Source organism: Homo sapiens, chromosome 5 (genome assembly GCF_000001405.40).
Source record: "Homo sapiens chromosome 5, GRCh38.p14 Primary Assembly".
In the NCBI taxonomy this organism is placed as follows: Eukaryota; Metazoa; Chordata; class Mammalia; order Primates; family Hominidae; genus Homo; species Homo sapiens.
Genome location: NC_000005.10, coordinates 126,002,355 through 126,022,524, shown reverse-complemented (window position 1 = coordinate 126,022,524; position 20,170 = coordinate 126,002,355). Strand labels below are relative to the sequence as shown.

The 20,170-nt window shown below is 37.0% G+C and overlaps 1 long non-coding RNA gene across 1 annotated transcript in view, besides 2 other annotated features; it reads left to right on the top strand.

Moving 5' to 3' along the window:
- Positions 1–20,170, top strand: part of LOC124901056 (uncharacterized) — an 891,204-nt gene that overhangs the window by 347,774 nt on the left and 523,260 nt on the right. The gene's annotated exons all lie outside the window — the stretch shown is intronic.
- Positions 11,975–13,711: an enhancer, noted in NCBI's record as "VISTA enhancer hs2325". NCBI's record gives its function as "enhancer in: forebrain[4/17]" and the evidence as "EXISTENCE:transgenic organism evidence [ECO:0001131][PMID:17130149]".
- Positions 12,441–12,972: an enhancer, noted in NCBI's record as "OCT4-NANOG hESC enhancer chr5:125345246-125345777 (GRCh37/hg19 assembly coordinates)". NCBI's record gives its function as "activates a minimal SCP1, AML or CMV promoter by ChIP-STARR-seq in primed H9 embryonic stem cells {active_cell/tissue: H9 hESC(primed)}" and the evidence as "EXISTENCE:reporter gene assay evidence [ECO:0000049][PMID:30033119]".

Below are 20,170 nucleotides of genomic sequence, written 5' to 3'. Positions count from 1 at the left end.
TTGTTTGTTGTTGTTGTTGTTTTGAGAGACAGGATTTCACACTGTTTCCCCAGCTGGAGTGATGTGGCATGTTCATAACTCACTGCTTGAACTCCTGGGATCTAGTGATCTTCCTACCTAAGCTTCTCAAATAGCTGGGACTACAGGCACGTACGACCACACATGGCTAATTAAACAAAATTTGTTTTGTAGAGATAGGGTTTCTCTATGTTGCCCAGGCTGGTCTTGAGCTTCTGGACTCAAATTATCCTCCTACTTCAGTTTCCCAAAGATCTGGGGTTACAGGTTTGAGCCACCATGCCCTATCTGCAATTCTTTTTATATTAGCCCTTATCTGTGAAGTACAAACATATTTTTTGACTTTGTTAGAGTGTTTTGAAATATAAATTTTAGTTGGTGTTAAAAATACACACAGCAAAGTGCACAAATCCTGAATGTACCTCTCAATGACTTTTCACAATGTAAACACTCATATGTAACATGATCAAGAAACAAGAGTATTACCAAAACACTAGAGGCCCCTTTGTGGCCCCTTCCAGTGACTATCTTCCCCCATAGATGTCACCTTCTTCCCTTCAAATTTAACTACCTATCTTCACCTCTAAAATTTTTTCTATAATTTCGCTCTTGAGCTTTACATCAGCAGAATCACACGGTATATACTCTTTTGTTTCCGGCTTTCTTTGTCCAAATTCATTTGGATGAGATTCATTCATGTTGTATGCAAGTGAAGTTAATTTATTCCCACTCCCATATTATCCCATATGAATACACCACCATGTTTTGAGCAGAGTTGCTTAATATATCTTAAGTGAATTATCTGTATTAGCAGTGTGGAGTAGTCACAAGGATGATTAAGACATCATTCAGTGAATCTGTTTCTCATGCTTAAACATATCCAAAAACATCATAATGGTACTGATCACTTTATTATTTATCTTGATTCATATGGATTCTGAAACCTACGTGAACGGTGAACCTGAAGGAAATGGAGAGAGGGGATGATATGGGTGGTTTGAATTTCTGGAGTGGGGGATTGCTGCTGTCTTAGTCTGTTCTGTGTTCCTATAAAGGAATACCTGAGGGTCGGTCATTTATAAAGAAAAGAGGTTTATTTAGCTCATGCTTTTGTCGACTGTACGAGGATCGTGGTGCCAGCATCTGCTCCATTTCTGCTAAGGGCTTCAGAGTGCTTCCAAATCATGGCAGAAGGTGAAGGGGAGCCAGCATGTGCAGAAATCAAACGGTAAGAAATGAAGCAAGAGAGAGAGAAGTGGGGAAGAGCTGAGCCCTTTTTTTAGCAACCAGCTCTCATGAACTAATAAAGCAAAAACTCACTCACTCCCCCACTTTAGGGAGAACATTAATCTATGAAGGAGCCATCTCCATGACCCAAACGCCTCCCACTGGGCCCTACGTGTAACATTGGGGATCAAATTTCAACATGATTTTTGGAGAGGTTAAACATCCAAACTATAGCAGCTGGGGGGAGTGTTTTTCCAAAGACTGGTTGAGAATCAGCACGTGGTAATACCGTGAAAACCAACCCTGAGGCCATTCACTATGACATTACATTTTACATACAATGTACTACAAAGATTGTCAAACCCGGGTGGAGTGTGATCTTTGAGTATAATGCTATCATTATGAGAGACAAATAAGTGGGATAATTACTCCTTTTTTTTTTCTTTTGAGACAGGATCTTGCTCTGTCACCCAGGCTAGAGTGCAGTGGTGCTATGATGGCTCACTGCATTCTCGACCTTGGGGGCTCAGATGATCCTCCTGCCTCAGCCTCCTGAGTAGCTAGAACTGCAGGCATGTGCCACCATTCCTGGCTAATTTTTTAATTTTGTGTAGAGAATAGGCCTCCTTATGTTGCCCAGGGTGGTCTTGAATTCCTGAGCTCAAACAATCGTCCTGTCTTGGACTCCCAAAATGCTGAGATTACAATAGGTGACAATAACTTCTTATAATTGCTGAGCTCAGAACATGATACCCAAAAGTATGGCACCTTGACATGCTGAGTATTTGTGGAACAGGAGGAAGGAAGCAGGGAGGGTCTCAAAAGCAAGAAGGTGTCTCTGACCTTCTCCTGTCCTCTTATATTTGACCCTCTTTTTTCTTGGAAGTGGGTCATGGAAACTAAAATTCCTCTCTCTTGAATTAAGTCGTAAAACCTAGAAAGGTCACTCTCTGACCTTCTCCCTTCTCCATTAAAAAATCCTCAGTCACAGATGTCCTGCTCCACACCTGCAGGGAAGGAATGTCATACACAGAGACAGAAAAGAATCTGAAGAAACCTTGCTGAGCTCACCTAGTTTAAAACCATTGGATCATACCTCTTTCTGTCCAATCATGTTTCTCCACTTCTGTCCACTTCTTTCATCAGACTCACCATAAAAATATGCAGTTTTCCCTGGATCTTTGGGTCTTCATTTCTGAATGCTCCTGTGTCACATAAGACTTTGGTGAAATGAATTTTTTACACTTTTATTAGTCTGTTGTTCGGTGTGGGGATGTCAGCATGACCTTTGTGATAGGTGAGGAAAAGATTACTTTTTCTCCCCTACACAGTATAGACAAAATGGTTAGGACACAAAATACTGTATTTTGCTTCCTTGTTCAACATTTTTGAATATTTATTTACTATGAGTCTAGAGCAGTGATTTCCAAACCTTAGCGTGGATCCAAATCACTTGGAGGGCTTGTTAAAAAACAAATCACTGGGCCTCACAAGGATTTGCATTTCTAACTAGTCCCAATGTAATGGGGATGGCTATTCCCAGGACTCACTTGGAAAACTGGTCTGGACAAGAAAAAGAATAATGTGAGTGAAGCAAAGCAATGATAATAGGTTTAGGTAACTTAATTCTGAATTCATATCCCTGTGTAGGGCATTCACGAGTTTTCTTTCTCCCCAGGTGCCATTTTCTGGTAAGCCATAATTTTATGCAATCTTTAAGGAAACTTAAGAAGCTCCTGTGAATTATTTGCAAGAAAAATAGCTTGAGATTATTAGGGTTTGAAGACTATTTTTTTAAAAAAGAAATAACTTTTTGTTTTTTAGATGGAGTCTTGCTTTGTCACCCAGGCTGTAGTGCAGTGGCGCGATCTCGGTTTGCTGCAACTTCCATCTCTCGGGTTCAAGCGATTCTCCTGCCTCAGCCTCCCCACAAGGATTTGCATTTCTAACTAGTCCCAATGTAATGCTGAGGCACCCGCCACCAAGCCCAGCTAATTTTTTTTATATTTTTAGTAGTAGATGGGGTTTCACCATTTTGGCCAGGCTGGTTTTGAACTCCTGACTTCAAGTGATCCACCCACCTTGGCCTCCCAAAGTGCTAGGATTACAGGCGTGAGCCACTGTGCCCGGCCAAAAGAAATAACTTTTAAAGAAATGTTTTGAAGTACAAAATTGATAAAATATATTAGTAGGGTATTTCAGTGGATGTGGTTGGAATGCAGAGACATTGAGAAAATTTAAGATGTGTCGCTGTTAGCAGACAAGCATTTTTGGTTAACTTTCAATTATGTTGTATGGACTGTATCAAGATTTTATTAGGTCTGTTTATTGATTCATTTCCCCTTTAAAACAATTAAAATGTTATGTTTGCTTTTGGGAAAAGGTTTTTACTGTTTCCCTGCTGCAAAACATTTAATACATACATTAACATCAGTGACATATTCATAATTTTTTCCAAGATTCTCATAAGAAAGGTTTTGGGAATAAAATCAAATAAAGTGATATTATTAAAGGATTAATCTTGATTCTGCTCTAATACATTTTTTAAAAGCAAATCAATTTCAAGTTAAGAAAATTTATGATGTTACTATTATTAAACTAATTTATAATACTGTTATATAATAACATAACTATATTAATAATCATTAGTAATTATAATTATTATTTTCAATGACTGTTGTTAAAAAACTTGTAATAAATCTCATTTCATTACAACATACCAATGTTTGTACCCCGAAGGTGAGAATTATTATTTTGGGAGATGTTTTATGTTAGAGCAGTGAATAGGTCAACCTATAGGTATTCCCAGGACTGAGTCTATTTCATCCATACAAAGAAGGTGTTAAGAAGTACATCCAGGCTTATAAGGGGCCTAGGAGATTGGTCTGGCAGTTGGATATTGAGAACTTCAAGGTCTGATCCAATTAGGGCTTTGGATTGCATATAGTCAAAGACAATTAGGAGAAGCAGGCCAGAGAGGCTAATGGAACTACCCACAGAGTTGTTTAGGGACCCAGGCAATAATACAATAACATAGATAAAATATATCAAATGCTTTCTTTGTGACAGGTAGAGTTCTTTAGGTGCAGTATTTCATTTATTTCCTACATTTTGATACTTTAATGACATTCCCCACTCTAAAGATGAAAAAACTTAGAAGCCTGGATGGTGAGACTCTTTCCTTATATCACACAGATAGTTGGGACTGGTAATGAGTCTTCACCCAGGGCTGAGCTCTCCCTCCCATGTCTTCTCTCCTTATTCCCAGCCTATCACCATCTTGTCTCCAAACTGTCTCCCATGAAACCGCTTGAAAGCTACATTACAATATCAGAAATGGTATTTTATGGTGTATAAAATACTAAATATTTTATTAGATTAAGAAATCAATCTTATGACATCAAAAGATATCCTTAAGAAAGTAGCAGAATTGAAAAAAAAGGTGTACTGATAATAATCCCATATGCCTCCCCACAAAATACACAGAAATAATTTAAAATGTATGGTAGGTGTTTGACATTCTTTTTGTTGTATTTCCTTCTCTCTTTCCTTTGTATTAGATTCAAGTTTATTTTTTAACTTATTAACCCATCTGAAATTTAATATGTTTGTTCAATGGAAAATAAATCAATATCTCCTCCTACTAGGCCTTAATACAGTGCTCAGATTGTAGTTTATACACTGTACATTTTACCTTCCCTCATCATTTTTACAGGCAGATTATTTTATGGCCTAATGGTTCTTCAGTAGGCCATAAGCACTATATACACTTGATAACTCCTTTATAACAAAGCGAAAGGAGCACGTCAGTTCTAAAAGTCTCAAAACTGGGCCTCTTATTAAAATTTTAATAAAAACTGTAAACCATTAAAAAAGAGTTAAATTTTGTTGCTGTCATTGAGAAATGTTATTCTTGGCTAATATTATATGCAAATGTAAGGAGTTTCTTCAATAATCACTCTGTGAAAACAAGACTGTCTGGAAATTTTGCCCAAATAGACCAATGGGAGTTTGCACATGTTTTGGGGGAAAATTCTTGCATAGATATCTCTTTGCTTTACTCTGGCTGACTACTGACTTTGTCTTAAGAAAAATCATCCTTATGGGACATTTTATAATAAGATTGATTTTACCTATAGTTACCATACCACCTTCATTTTTACTTTCAAATGACCTCTGATTTCATTTCTTCATTTTCAATAGTAAAATATGAACCAGATGTAGAGAATGGTGAGGTGGAATTTCTCATAGTTCATTTAGAACCTCCATTAATTAATTCCCCATTGTGTGGCAGTGTTAACAGCAGGTGTTTTAGAGTTTGAATAGGTAAAATGGGAAACCCCGCCCCCCTTCTAGCATCTTATTGTTTGCTAGAGAGTTTTGAAATCATGCCTTTAGAAATTTGCATGGTTTTTGTGTGTGTGTGTGTGTATGCATGCGTGTGCATATGTATGTATGTGGATACTTAAAAAAACCTCTAAATCTATAGAGTTCTTGGAGATGGAGGTAGTTGAGAGGTTGGCAATTTAAATATCTTTGTGAAATTAATGCCATGTTTTTTGCTTTTTTTTTCCCCCCTTGAAAGCGAACGTTGTGGAAATGAGTGTGTTGAATTGCAAAAAAAAAATTTTGGAAAAACTGCTTTCACATTAATCTTACTTTACTAGAATCTGCAAAGCATATGTATAGGACTAATAATAAGTCCTACAAACCTGAATCTCTCCTGGAGGAATTAAATCACAAGTGTAGCCTACAGGGTGATTCCATGTTGCAGTAAGTGCCGCTTTCCTGGGCAGCCTGCAGTCTGCTCTATGGCTGTCTGCTGGGGCTTGTGCCAGCTGGAACATGAAAACATGGATCTGCTTGCTCTTCTGGCCAATAGACCCAAAGCACTCCCTTATTCTTTTTTAAAACACTATTATAAAAAATGAAATAATACTTGCTCAATCCTCTCTCTCTCTTTGTAAATAACAATGATGTTTCAAATGATGCTGCTTCACTGATGCTCTGAAAAAAATACATTCATGAATTAGAACTAAATTGACATTTTAATTTTGTCCCTTCCTGTTGTTTAGAATTCACAGTCACTGCAAGGACCTTGCATAACACACATATGGAACATTCATATGTTCCTCTTGATTTCTGTATGCCACCCTCATATTTTGAGATTTGTCCATACAAGTCAGCTTGAATTTGATAATATCCTGTCAATTAAACTAAACCTTGTTTTCAAAGCCAAATAGCACAAGTGCCTCAGGCACCTGGAAAAAAACCCAGCACACAGGCTCAAGTGGATAGTTAGGTGTGCAATTACTTGATTTATACACATGTGTGTTTCTGAAATTACAGCTGCAGGGTTTTGTGGTCTCTGTGGGGGTGTGAACAGTTTTGCTGGCAAGTCTGTTATGCCTTACTTTGGAAATTTGGCTCCCAACATAAATTCCCCTCCCATCACTGATGGAGAACAAAGTCTATTTGTCACTTTTCCATTGACTGCCACAATGATTCAGAAAGAAAACAGTCTTATTTTGCTGCTGTGATTGGGAATTGCTGATTCATCTCACAAGTCCAATCATCTTTACTTTTCACTATACAAATGTGAGTTGTGGATGTGGTATAAGCTGGCGGGAAAGGGCAGTCTTCCCACCCTTGTTACTGACCCGACTACTTGTAAATTTGCTTGAGGGAACACACTCCTTTCCATAAAACTCTCCTTTTTCAGCGGAAGGTTTTGAAACCAAGACATTCATTCAAAAGAAGTTTCTGTTGTTCTTTTGGCTTTGCAGCTATTTAAAAACAATGCTTGCCTTGAAGTTCTACGTATACTTTTAACCTTTTGGCTTAGCTGTAGAAAAGCTTATTACTGCAAGCATACTCAATCACTCATGATAGTACAACACTCTGGAGACCTTATCATCGCACCGTCTAGTTGGGTAATTAAATGCAGGGTAGATTTACAGTTCAGTGGATTTGCTCATGGTGGGGTGGCAGCCATCTCCTCTTTCCGTTTTGAATCGTTCAACTTCACACTGCTGCTTTGCATCAGGGTGACTGGAAAATGTGGAATCAAATATTAAAGAGCAAATATAGACTAGAAAGGGGGTGGCACATTGGGAAAAGAAAGACAAGGACACTGAAGGATTTTGCTGTCCAAGCAAAGGAAAATTATTCTAACTTTGTGTAACTTTTGCAGCTTTGTTAATATTAGAAGATGTAGCTATTATTAGATTGACTTTTTTTTATGAGGAAATTAAACAAGGTCATTTCAGTAACACTGAGAATTCACACTTTCTGCGAAACCACTATTTCCTCAAGGGGCTAATAGGAGCTCAACATGGATAGGAAAAACCACTCCTTTCATATATTCTCAGAATAGTTACCTAACTCATAATGGCTGGAGATTGAAAAGGCCTATTCAGTTCTTGGCTGCAGCCTCCAGGGATCAGGGCAGCATTTTTCTTTGTTCTGTAGTACATTTTCCCCTGTTTTGAATGGTTTTATTTCAATGGCCTCAAGGCTTTCTCTTCTTCCATGGAAAACTGATTCCAGATTCTAGCCAATCTCATCATAAAAATTACTTTCTTACCAGGAATTAAAAGATGTCTCTCTTTTTGCGTGTGTGTGTGTAAAAAGAGAGTGTAGGCTCATTTGACATCTTCACTCTTCAAATCAAGAATCTTCTTGTTTTCTCTTACCTCAAATATACCCTAATCTTGACATTGCCCTCTGGTATTTTTAAAAATTATCTATCTATCTATCTATCTATCTATCTATCTATCTATCTATACAAATTTCTGGTCAGTTATTACTTAAATAAATGCTTTTTAGCCTGTTCCCCCTCCTCAGTTTTCGAATGGTTACTCTTACATTTTATGAAAGAAATTAGCATTTATCTCCTTCGTAAGTGACAGCATATTCTGCACGCAGGGTATAAATAGCAATACCATATACATATCATCTGCCTCAAATCATTTTTTGGAACAGGTAAGGTACAAATACTACAAATGAATAAATACATGTATGCAATATTCATATTATGGCTTGTTAGCATGTTTGATTTGTCATTGCTAATTAAATGACGATTTTTATCTTCCAGGAAATTTGCTAAATTTAAACATTGGTTTCACTTATTTATTTATTTGCTCGTTCAAACAAAACTTGTTGAATACCTACTATATTTGAATACTTGTAGGTGCTGGGAATTTAGTGGTGAATAAAACAAAGTCCCTGTCTTTGTGAAACTTACATTCCAATGGTGGGAGAGAGAATATAAACAAACAAGTAAATAGTCTGTCAAATGGTGATGCGTGCTATAAAAAAATCAAGTAGGATGAGGGAGATAGGATCTCCCTTATGAGTGTGTGTATGCATACTTGTGTAGATTCATGTGGCAGTGTTTGTGTGTGTGAGTGTGTCTATGTTGGAGGGAGGTGGTTGTTTCCTACAGGTGGTCAGTGTGACACAGTGACCTTAAGAGAACTTAAGGCAGGACTAAGCCTAAACTTTCCAGGTTGTAAAAATTACTAAATATAAAAGTCTAAAATGCTGCTGATATGGTTAAGTAACACGAGAACTGACCATTGGATTTAGCAAAATAGAGATCATAGGTGAACTGGATAAGAACTTGAAGTTGAAATAGTAGCGGAGGGCAGAAGTCTAAGGATTCTAAGGAAAGTGGAAAAAGAGAAATTGGAGACATTATATTAAATACTGTTCCTAGGAGTTTTCTTCCAGGAGAAGGAATGACATAGGACAGTAGCTGGAGCTGTTGTGGGATTATGAGTTTTTCTTCTTTTAGCAGTGGAAGAAATAATAGAATGTTTATAAGCTTATTGGAAAAATTGGTGTGTATGTGAGTGAGTGTGTGTGTGTGTGAGAGAGAGAGAGAGAGAGAGAGAGAGAGAGAGAGAGAGAGGTAAATTCCTAGAACAATGTCCTAATGTGGGGGAGTGGAGAAACGAGATAGAGTCTGTAGGATAATATGCAGTTGAGAGATTTTAGAATGACTGTATGCTGATAGTAATGATCTAGTCGAGTGTGAAAAAGTCGTGACAAAGGAGGAGGAAGAGCAAGATAGGATAATAAAGAAGCAGCTTGTGATGTTTTGGAGTATCAGAGGGATTGGGATCCAGTGCACACATGGAGAAGCTGGCTTTAATTTGGAAAGTGTTCATCCACAGTGACAAGAGGGGATGCAGCAGCTATGGGTAGAGATAGATGTAGGTGGGAGGTGGGATTTTTAGAGTCTGTAAAAGTTATTTTCTGATATTTCCCACTTCCTCAGTCACACTGAAAGGAAGTTGAGGATAAGGAGAGGGGAAGTATTAAAATTGGGAAAAGAGGATAAACCAAGATACTTGTAGTCTAGAAGAATGGGAAAGGAATATAGGCTGGGGAAATGCAGTAGGAATGAATAAATGCTATGTAATAGTTATTTGTATTTTAAAATTTGTATTATTTTTAATTGTTTTTTCAAAATACTCTGATCTGCAGTTGGTTGAATCTGTGCGGCAGATGCCAAACTCGCTGGCGCAGAACCTGCAGGTGATGGGGGCTGACTATATTTCAGGACCAGTGTGCCTGTGCTTCTGTCCCTGTCCTAAACTCCTAACCATCTGAATGAGTTGTTGAGCACAGGTGTTTTCCCACCCTGGTGCGCTTATTTTTCTTTTTATCACAGTTGTCCTTATATTGTAGTATATAGTACAAAAAAAAACCCATTCAGAATAAAGTCTGGCCTTCTTTGTTTTAGATACTGTACTTGCACTAAAAAAAGTGTGAGATCTCATTTGTTGTTTGTGTGTTAGTTATATCAGTCCACATTTTTTGAGGGGGAAGGGAAGGGGGAAACAGGGTCTCACTCAGTCGCCCAGGCTGGAGTGCAGTGGCATGGTCTGGGCTCACTGCAACTGCCTCCTAGGCTCAAGTGATCCTCCCACCTCAGCCTCCCAAGTAGCTGGGACCACAGGTGTACACCATGACACCCAGATAATTTTTGTATTTTTTGCAGAAATGGGGTTTCCCCATGTTTCCCAGGCTGGTCTTGAACTCCTAGCTTCAACTGATCCACCTGCGTCAGCCTCCCAAAGTGCTGGGATTACAGGCGTGAACCATCGCAACAGGCCCCGGCATAGCTTTTAATTTGTGTCATATGGGTGATTGAATTTTGAAATATAGTATTCCTACTATTTTTCTGCTGTAAGACTGTAGAGCATAAAAGTGGAAATAGCTGTTAGGAAGGCCACCAACAGTATCTACTACAATCAGGTTGAAAGAGGTTCTCAAAAATATTAAGAAGAGACAAAGTGATGGGAAGAATGAGATATTATAAAAATATTGAGACTAGGCCAGTGGCAGTGGCTCAAGTCTGTAATCTCAGCACTTTGGGAGGCTGAGGCATGCGGATCATGAGGTCAGGAGATCAAGACCATCCTGGCTAACAGGGTGAAACCCTGTCTCTACTAAAAATAGAAAAAAAAGTAGCCGGGCGTGGTGGCACAAGCCCGTAGTCCCAGCTACTCAAGAGGCTGAGGCAGGAGAATGGCATGAACCTCAGAGTTAGAGGTTGAGGTGAGCTGAGATTGCGCCACTGCACTCCAGCCGGGGCGACAGAGAGAGACTCCATCTCAAAGAAAAAAAAAATTGAGACTAGAAATGTCAACATAAGTTAATATATTAATTTCATAGGGAAAGAATTAATAAATAGACTCTAATTTTTCTTTTAAATTTCCTTTCTTGAATCCAAGGGTTATTGAGAAATATTTCCTTATAGATACTACTTGCTTAGCTATCTTTTTATTATTAATTTATACTTTTATTTCTTTATAAAGTCTGTATAATATTGGTTCTTATGAATTCTTTGAGCCCTTCTTTGTAGCCTTGTACGAGGTTAATTTTTCTAAATTTTCTAATTTTGCTTGAAGTGAATGTCTAGTGTCTGTTGATGTAATGTTTATTAGAGCTTATTTTAATGTAGAAAATAACACTTGCTTTTTTGGGTCTGCTTGATTTATTTGTAGTGATTCATAGTTAATAATCTCCAACTATAATTGTGGTTTTATACATTTTCATTGTAGTTCTGTCAGTAGTTGTTATATAACATTTTTCAGTTGTGTTGTTATGTGGATATAGATTCATGATAATGGCACATAACCAAAATAAAATATCTCAATTTTTTTTCTCATGATCATTTTTACTTTAAATCATGTTGTCTGTTTCTGGCTGTTTTAGGTTTATATTTATATGAAGTCATTTTTTTTCTATCCCTGTATTTTTGAGCTTCACATGTTTTGCTGCTTAATATTTCTAGATCTCTCAAAAATCCATCAGATCATTAATCACAGTCATTTCCATTTCTTTAAATTACTATTAGATTGTGATTTACTTCTGTTTTTAGTTATTTTTACATTTGGATTACATTCTGTTTTTTTAAATCAATTTATGAAGAGTATTTCTTTAATTTTTCTTTTTGTATACTTCTTATGTCCACTGAATATAGTACATTTTCTTCTGCTGATTTAAAAAGTGATTCTTTATTAAAATTAATACTAAAGATTAGTTTTTAATCAGTTTTTTAAGCTTATAAATATCTATAAATTCTATTTCAGTAAGTTAAACTCTTCATGTAAACTAGAAATCTAATTCTTAAATATTATGGACATTTAATTTTTTAAGATTGTTTTCCTATGATTATTGCTTTTTTAGACACAAATATTTCCCTAAGATATTTATGCGCCCATAATTCCCGTGTATCTGCAGCATTCTCCTGGATGTATTTCTTGACTTGCTGGAGAACAGGTCAAAGAGGTTTTTATGCAATAAAGTTTATGAAGGCTTGTGTGCCTGATAATAGTTTTATTTTACACTCAGAGTTAAATAAAACATTTAGTTGGATATAGAATTCTAGTTTAATGTGCTTTTCTTTCAACACTTTGAAAATGTAACTCCATTGTTTCCTGAATATAATATAGTCTTTGAGAATTTCAATGTCAATCTGATTATAATTCCTTTATATGTAATTGGATTTTCCTTTCTAGAAACTTAAAGAACTTTTTATTCTTACTTGATGTTCTCAATTTTTGCTATAACTTGTCTCACTGTATGTTTGTTCTAATTTATTCAGTTTGCCATTATACATTCTTTTAATGAGCTCTTATATTTTTCTTTAATTTTGAGAATTTTAAGTCATTGTTTCTTCTAAAGTGTCTTTCCCCCTATTTATTTATTCTTTCCCTATGAAATTAATACATTAGCTTATGATGACATTTCTAGTCTCAATATTTTCATAATGTCTCTTTCGTTCCTCCCACCACTTTGTCTCTTGTTGATATTTTTGGGAACCTCTTTTCAATCTGATTGTAGTAGATACTGTGGGTGGCCTTCCCAACAGCTATTTCCACTTCTTCTTTGTTGACTTTGTTTGTATGACAATGTGCCGAGACCCAGGGAATGTATCAATATTGATTTAAGGCAATCAAGGAAGTCCAATTAGCATTGAACGTCTAGGAATGATCATGTGACCTTAGGAATGTGCGCATGCATTAAGGCTGAGGGCACTCGGCCATTTTCCTGAGACTGGAGAAAGCAAGGGAGAGAGGAGCCAATGTGACTGATGGGGCCCTTTTACCAACACTGGAAAATGGAGTCTTGGAGTCCAGATGAAATTTGTTTTAAGAAACTTAAGAAATGTAATTCTTTCGTCTTCTGTATCATTGTGCATTTGATGCTTATAAGCAACATATTTGAGTGCATTATTTTATTTAGTTCTGGATAATATTAGGTTGGTGCAAAAGTAATTGCAGTTTTGCACTAACCTAATAGCATATGAAGGAAAGTATTTTGAGGACTTTGGGGATGTTTTTCTTTATTACTATAGCTGCTATTGATGATAATATAATGATCACTCCTATGAACTAGCATTGCAGGACTTTTCCTTAGTTCAGCTAAAAACAGGGTTCTTTGACCCACAGCCATGAAAATTCAGGCTCACAGACAATTTAAATGGTGAGTAAGACAGGGTTTTATTGGGTATAAAGGCAGATAAGGGGGAAACAGGGACTTTTGCAAGGCCAGAGTGTCTGCTAGAGGGCCTCCCAACCAGCACTTCGAATCTCAGTTTCCACACAGGAAGAGGAGGGGCCTACTACAAACCTCATGAACTTCCCAAGGCTCCACCTCAGTGGGGAGGCTGGTTGAAGTTCCTCCAGGGACCCCCTCCCACCTGGCTGTCTTACTAGTACTACCATACTGATGATATTATTGTAAAGAAAGGTAAAGGAAAAACCTCTTTAGGCCGTATGGCTGATCTCTTTCCTTGATTCTCCCCTGCTCTGGTCTCTAGTTTACCTGACTGGGACACTCACTGTTTTCATTACTCATGAGCCTCTACACTACATATCACAGACTAGTATATAGATTCAACTTATGAGAATTCCTTGTATCTAAATACTACACCAGCCTGATGAAAGTTTCACCACTACCCATTCATTCCTGTGGAGAGGACTCCTTCCCCTGAATTGAATTGCTTGGATGATTAGCCAGTATTCTTGAGGATTGGCTCATCTTGATCTGGGCCCACCTATAGTCTTGATTTTGGCTATTTTTTTTTTTCCTTAACATCCATCCCCTTTTTACCATTATGATGTCATTTTAGGTATTCCAAAGCTGAGACTGAGACTGAATGCTAATAGGGGACACAATTATGAATTGAAAATAGTGCTGCTCCTCAAAGAGATAATTCGGTAAGAGACAGATAAGTAAACACGTAATTATAATATAACCTTAAATATACTATGATAGAGATATTAAAATGCTGTTGAAGTGAAGGAATGTGTAGGAAGTTTCTTTGCTTAGAGAAGTTGGGAATTAATTTATAGAAATGGTGACATATGAACTGAGCCTTGAAAATTCAGTGTTTTTCATTTCAGGAGAGAAAATGTCATGTACAAATATGAAAATGGAATTGTGAAAAATCATGGTATAGTTGAAGGAATTAGCAGTTCATTTGCACCCCCTTTGAGCTCTTGTGTTATAGGTGTAATAGGGTAAGATACTAAGAATTTAAGAGTAGGATGCACCAAATCAATGATGTTATTTATTTTTTGCTGCATATAAAAGAATGGGCTTTGTGCTTGGGAAGAGGATACACTGGTACTGCACTTCTTTGGATTGACTTAAAAAAATTTTTTTTTTTCTCAAAATAAACAAGTTATTCATAGTTTAAGGCTCTGGAATCTGACTCCCTGAGTCATTCAGTGCTTCTGTATACATGACACTCAACTGTTAAAGAAGTGAACTAGAGAGAAATACTGGGTCTTTCGCATGGCTAGAAAGAAAGAGCTGCTAGTCCCAATGACAGAATGATTCTCAATGGAGAAGAAAGGGTGGCACAAACAAGTAGTGTTTTAGATTTTTGGGGGAGATAGAGCATGAAAACACTGGCCGCTAAATGCTTGGTTGGTCCCTGGAAGCCTAGAGAGAGATCAAAGGATGAGGGGCACAAACAATGGGGACCCAGCTCTAAGGGGCAGTGCTTGATTGGCACTAGATTTGATTTCAGAAAATTAAGAAAAAATATATATTTGCATCTTGTGTGTCACTGAGTTCTTCTTCCTATTATCAACATATCCGAGTTCATTATTTTATTCAATTTTATTTTTTACAAAGGTGTGGACACTTTGAGGATAGGCACTGAATTTTAATCACCTTGCCACTTTAGCAGCTCACATTATGCTGCATACGGAGTATGTTGTCAACAGATATGTGCTGATTGAACAAATGAAATAAGTGTTAGGAATTCAGAGAGGTTGATATCAGTGTCTATTATAGATTGTATCAGCGTAATTAGGAAAATGTGTAACTTTCAGAGTCACTTTCACACGACTGAAGATCTGTGTGCTTCAGATTCATTATTGTTTAGTTCTTCCTAAGGGATGAAATGATGCACACCTGGTTGTAATGACAGTTTTCTTCAGCTTCTCTGATCCCAAGGCTATTTTCAACACAGAAAATGGCATGGCCTTATTGAGGGTGTTATCACCATGAACAACACACTAGCGAGGATTGTGTTTTCTTACTGAAGCCCCATCACCATATATACAAAGGATATTTGTTAGGTGCCCACATTATCCTCTGTGTAAGTTTCAAGCTTACAATTCCTGAGCCAGTAAAAAATGTGTTTTTTTTCCCTTCTGATTTAAATATATTTTCATTGAATATTTCTAAATATGGCAGGGCTGCTTTTTTAGTTCATATTTTTCACATGTGTAGGTCATCAACATTTTATTTAGTATTACTGAATGTCATATGAAAGGTGCACATCATTCATTAATCAGGTAACCTAAAATTACCATTCATGGGTAGCAATTACATATTAGTATGCTAAATGCTCTTCAGGATTTGAAGCATTATCTTTGGTAAGATATTATAAGTAGAAAACAAAACAAAAAAACAACAACAAAAAATGGTTTACCTTTAATAGTGTGGTGTTCAGAGTCAATTGACCAGGATTCAAGAATGGCAGTACCTTTTGCTAACTGGCTGACTATGGGCGAGTTAGCAATTTCTTTATTTTTGACATGGACATGAAAGCTGTACTTACCTTACTGGGATATTATGAGGTTTAAATGAAATAACATATGTGAAAGTACTTCTTATTACTTATTAATATTTAAAAAAATCTGTTTGCTTATATTTTCTTTATTATGGGAAATATGTTGATTTCAGTACTTGTGTGTGTGTGTGTGTGTGTGTGTGTGTGTGTGTGTGTATGGGTGGATGGGGTAAGTCAAAGTAAGTATTTTATGATTTTCAGAAATTGGTCAGGTATAGCATAAAATGGCACTTCAACAGCAATTTTATAACTGTATTTAAGGTGTACAGCAACAACAGTATATTTATGTTTACATATTGCCAGAAGGACTTCGTACCAGTGCCCAATGAGTAAGTTGCTTTTACTCAGAATTCAATGTTTTTTTTTTATAGGAGTACACCTTATTTAATTACTTATTTAATTATTAAAGGCCATAAATAGTTCACAATAAGTTTCCTTGACTCTGAACAACAAGGATCAGTAATATTCCAATCAAAAGTCAAAAAAGTTGCTTCAGCTTTCTGAGTTCAGTCATTTAGTTAACGCTGGTGTTGCTTGATATTCATGAGAATTTCAGCTCTTCATGATTTCTGTACATTTTCCTTTATTCCAATGTCACAATCTCCAAAGCTATCAGAAATAAATTAGGTATTGATGGGACGTTTCTCAAAATAATAAGAGCTATCTATGGCAAACCCACAGCCAATATCATACTGAATGGGCAAAAACTGGAAGCATGCCCTTTGAAAACTGGCACAAGACAGGGATGCCCTCTCTCACCACTCCTATTCAACATAGTGTTGGAAGTGCTGGCCAGGGCAATCGGGCAGGAGAAAGAAATAAATGGTATTCAGTTAGGAAAAGAGGAAGTCAAATTGTCCCTGTTTGCAGATGACATGATTGTATATCTAGAAAACCCCATCGTCTCAACCCAAAATCTCCTTAAGCTGATAAGCAACTTCAGCAAAGTCTCAGGATACAAAATCAAAGTGCAAAAATCACAAGCATTCCTATATGCCAATAACAGACAAACAGAGAGCCAAATTATGAGTGAACTCCCATTCACAATTGCTTCAAAGAGAATAAAATACCTAGGAATCCAACTTACAAGGGATGTGAAGGACCTCTTCAAGGAGAACTACAAACCACTGCTCAATGAAATAAAAGAGGATACAAAGAAATGGAAGAACATTTCATGCTCATGGGTAGGAAGAATCAATATATCGTGAAAATGGCCATACTGCCCAAGGTAATTTATAGATTCAATGCCATCCCCATCAAGCTACCAATGACTTTCTTCACAGAATTGGAAAAAAACTACTTTAAAGTTCATATGGAACCAAAAAAGAGCCCGCATCGCCAAGTCAATCATGAGCCAAAAGAACAAAGCTGGAGGCATCACACTACCTGACTTCAAACTATACTATTCAATGTTTATATGTGATTATTTATGTATGAGTTGGGGGTTCATGCTCTTCCAAAATAGATATTAGAAATAAGCACCTTGATTTTACATCAGATTTAGCACTTTAAAATGCAAGCCTAATGAAAATACTCTATTGTATGACAGTATTATAGATTATTTTCTTAGTTAATTTTCTATTACTCAGAATGTGTGGATATTCCTAATGATTCCATTAGAGTTTAAATAACAGAATTCAGCACAAATGTATTTTACTGAGCAGAAGAAACATAATTTCTCTGGAACTGCAGCTGCCGTAGTTGAAGATGAGGCTCTTACTATCCCTTAGGGAGATTACTGTCTCTGCCAGCTGACTTAGTTTTTATACAGCCAGCGATTTATTAGATTGCTTTGCTCTTAAGTGTGATAATAGGCCTTATGCTTAGCAAGGTTTAGAGACTTCCAGTGCATTAATATTTTATGGCAATGACAGGCAAGACACATTTTGTTTACCTAACAAGCCAAGCCAAGCCAGGGCTGATGTGTATTGGAGATTAGCACTTTTAACTTGGAGGAACTCAGCCAATTATATATTTAGGACTTTGCCATGCCTCTTACAATTGTAATCCAATCAGCTCCTTACTTGGTACATAGCCACTGTATGCAAAGAAACCACCATACCCATATAATCTGGCCTAAATCAGAGGTAATCTCACTATTAACTCACTAACATTAACCATGTAATGACCATGAATTTTCTAGTGATTTGTTTTCTTCCACTAAAGATCTTACTTCACTTGGAATTTACTGAACTTTGAGCCAAAGCTTCCATAGACGCGTGTATATTACAATTCTATTCAGAAGATCCACTCAATTGATCTGAGTCACCTAGTAGGAAAGTTGTGTCATGGTGCTCTTGATTTTGGGGATTTCATTCCTGTTGTTGCTGTCTTGTTTTTTTATAAACTATTTAAAACAATGTGATTCCTGGGCCTTCTAAAGATTAGAAGTACAAATAAAACATAATTATTGAAATAGACCAAGTGGGTTACTGCAGTACTATATTAATTTGTTTCTTTTCTCTATTAAGCAAAGTTGACAGTTGTATCAGTTTTCATATTGAACAAAAAGTGTAAGTCTCAATGCATAGTAAATGTTGGAATATTGATACTCTCTAATCTCAAATTACCTTAGTATATCTAGCTTATATGTTTTTGAACATAAAATTATATGTGCAACATTTCTTCAATGTTAAGGACTGTGAGTGTTTCAACCAAATTATTAGGTACTTACTATTTGTGATATTAAGCTGCATTTTATACATTAATTAATAAACCTGTAGGATGGATTCTAAATATTATAACCATAATTTAAATATGCAATGGAATTTGAAACTTCTCAAGTTGTCTGTGTGACCTCAGGGTATGACATGAAGTATCATCTGTTCCAAAGATGACAGGGACCTCACTGAGAAAGGAACTTAAAAGTTCTATCAAATTGGTTATAGTACAGGTTTTGGGGGAGGAGGAGGGAGAGGGGGATAGCAGACGTAGATTTAGAGTATGGGAATTGGACAATTAAAATGGAAAGAAGGTTCAAATATGTTGAGAAGCAAGTCAGTACATGTGCAAAAACAGAAAACACCATGCACATGTAGATTTAGAAGAATTGCTAATACCCGCAGTGTTCCAATGAGGCATAAACGCAAACCATGGCGTGCCCTGCAGGGTCTCTCTGTGTGTTCATTACTTTTAATACCATTCTGTGCAAGCCTCAGAGGAACACAGCCAACTCCCACATCTTGGGGTTAGCATAATCTTGCTGTGGCTGGCACTCAGCCTGTGCTTGACTAAGTCTGCTGATGTTTCTGAGAGGAGAAAAAAAATGGAAAGCATTTGGTTTGGTTGTACAGATTGCTTTCTTTTATAAAGTGGGGGTGGGCTGGTTGAAGTGGTGGCAATGTATGTTTTCAACTGGGCTAAGTCTTGAAAATTACAAAATACAACAAAATGAAATTAATTCTTTTTGTTAATCATCAGGATTTATTGCTGTCCTTTTGGGGGGTGAGAACTTGATGTGGAAACACTGATCATACAAAAGAATTACAATAAAGTTATGACATCTCTCCCATCTTTTCCAGAGCTTTTTTCTGTTCCCTATCATTGCCTGGATAGTGGTTATTCAAATGCTAGTTAATTAAATTTTGGTAAGGACCAATGCAACCAGATTTATCTTAGTCTCTTCATCTTCTGTTCCTAATTTACCCTTTAAGGAACTCTGATTGCAAATCCCATAGAAGAAAAATCAGAGGGTGATGAGAGGAAGGAACAGAGATTGTGCTGAGTTTTATCAACTAGGAAATAAAGTGAAAATGAATTTTCAAAGTGCTGGAAAGGGGCAGAGACACACAGGCTTATCCCCTGTGCTTGAGCATGATAGTTTCACTATAGTCCCTACTTTGTTCATGTGTTCAAGGTATGTTTTTTTCTCTCTCTCCCTCCCCTTTCCAGAGGTCTAAGGCTCTCAAATTGAGAGAAGCTCAAAATATCACATTGTTGGGAAAGAGCTGACTCTGGCTTTCTTCAGGGAATTTAGAGGCCCAGTGACTTAGAGCAAATCACATGGCTGGTGATTGGCTTTGTCTCTGTTTTTATAAGTGATTAAAAAGAAAACCACTTCAATAATCCTCAGACCTCTGCTCTCGCCTGGGATCTCTTCCAACCAGGCCTGCTCAGCAGAACCCCTGGGAGGAGGAAAGCACACGAGCTCTCAGCCAAAAAATTAGAAAAAGCAACAAAGACATTGGAACCGGAAACTTCAGTGTGGGCCAGAATTCAAGGGCAATACCTTTTTCCCTCCTGGTTTGAGACTCACATTCAGTACTCCCATTTCATCTTTAGTTCCTCCTCTCTCAGCTTTCAGGGCCTTCACGA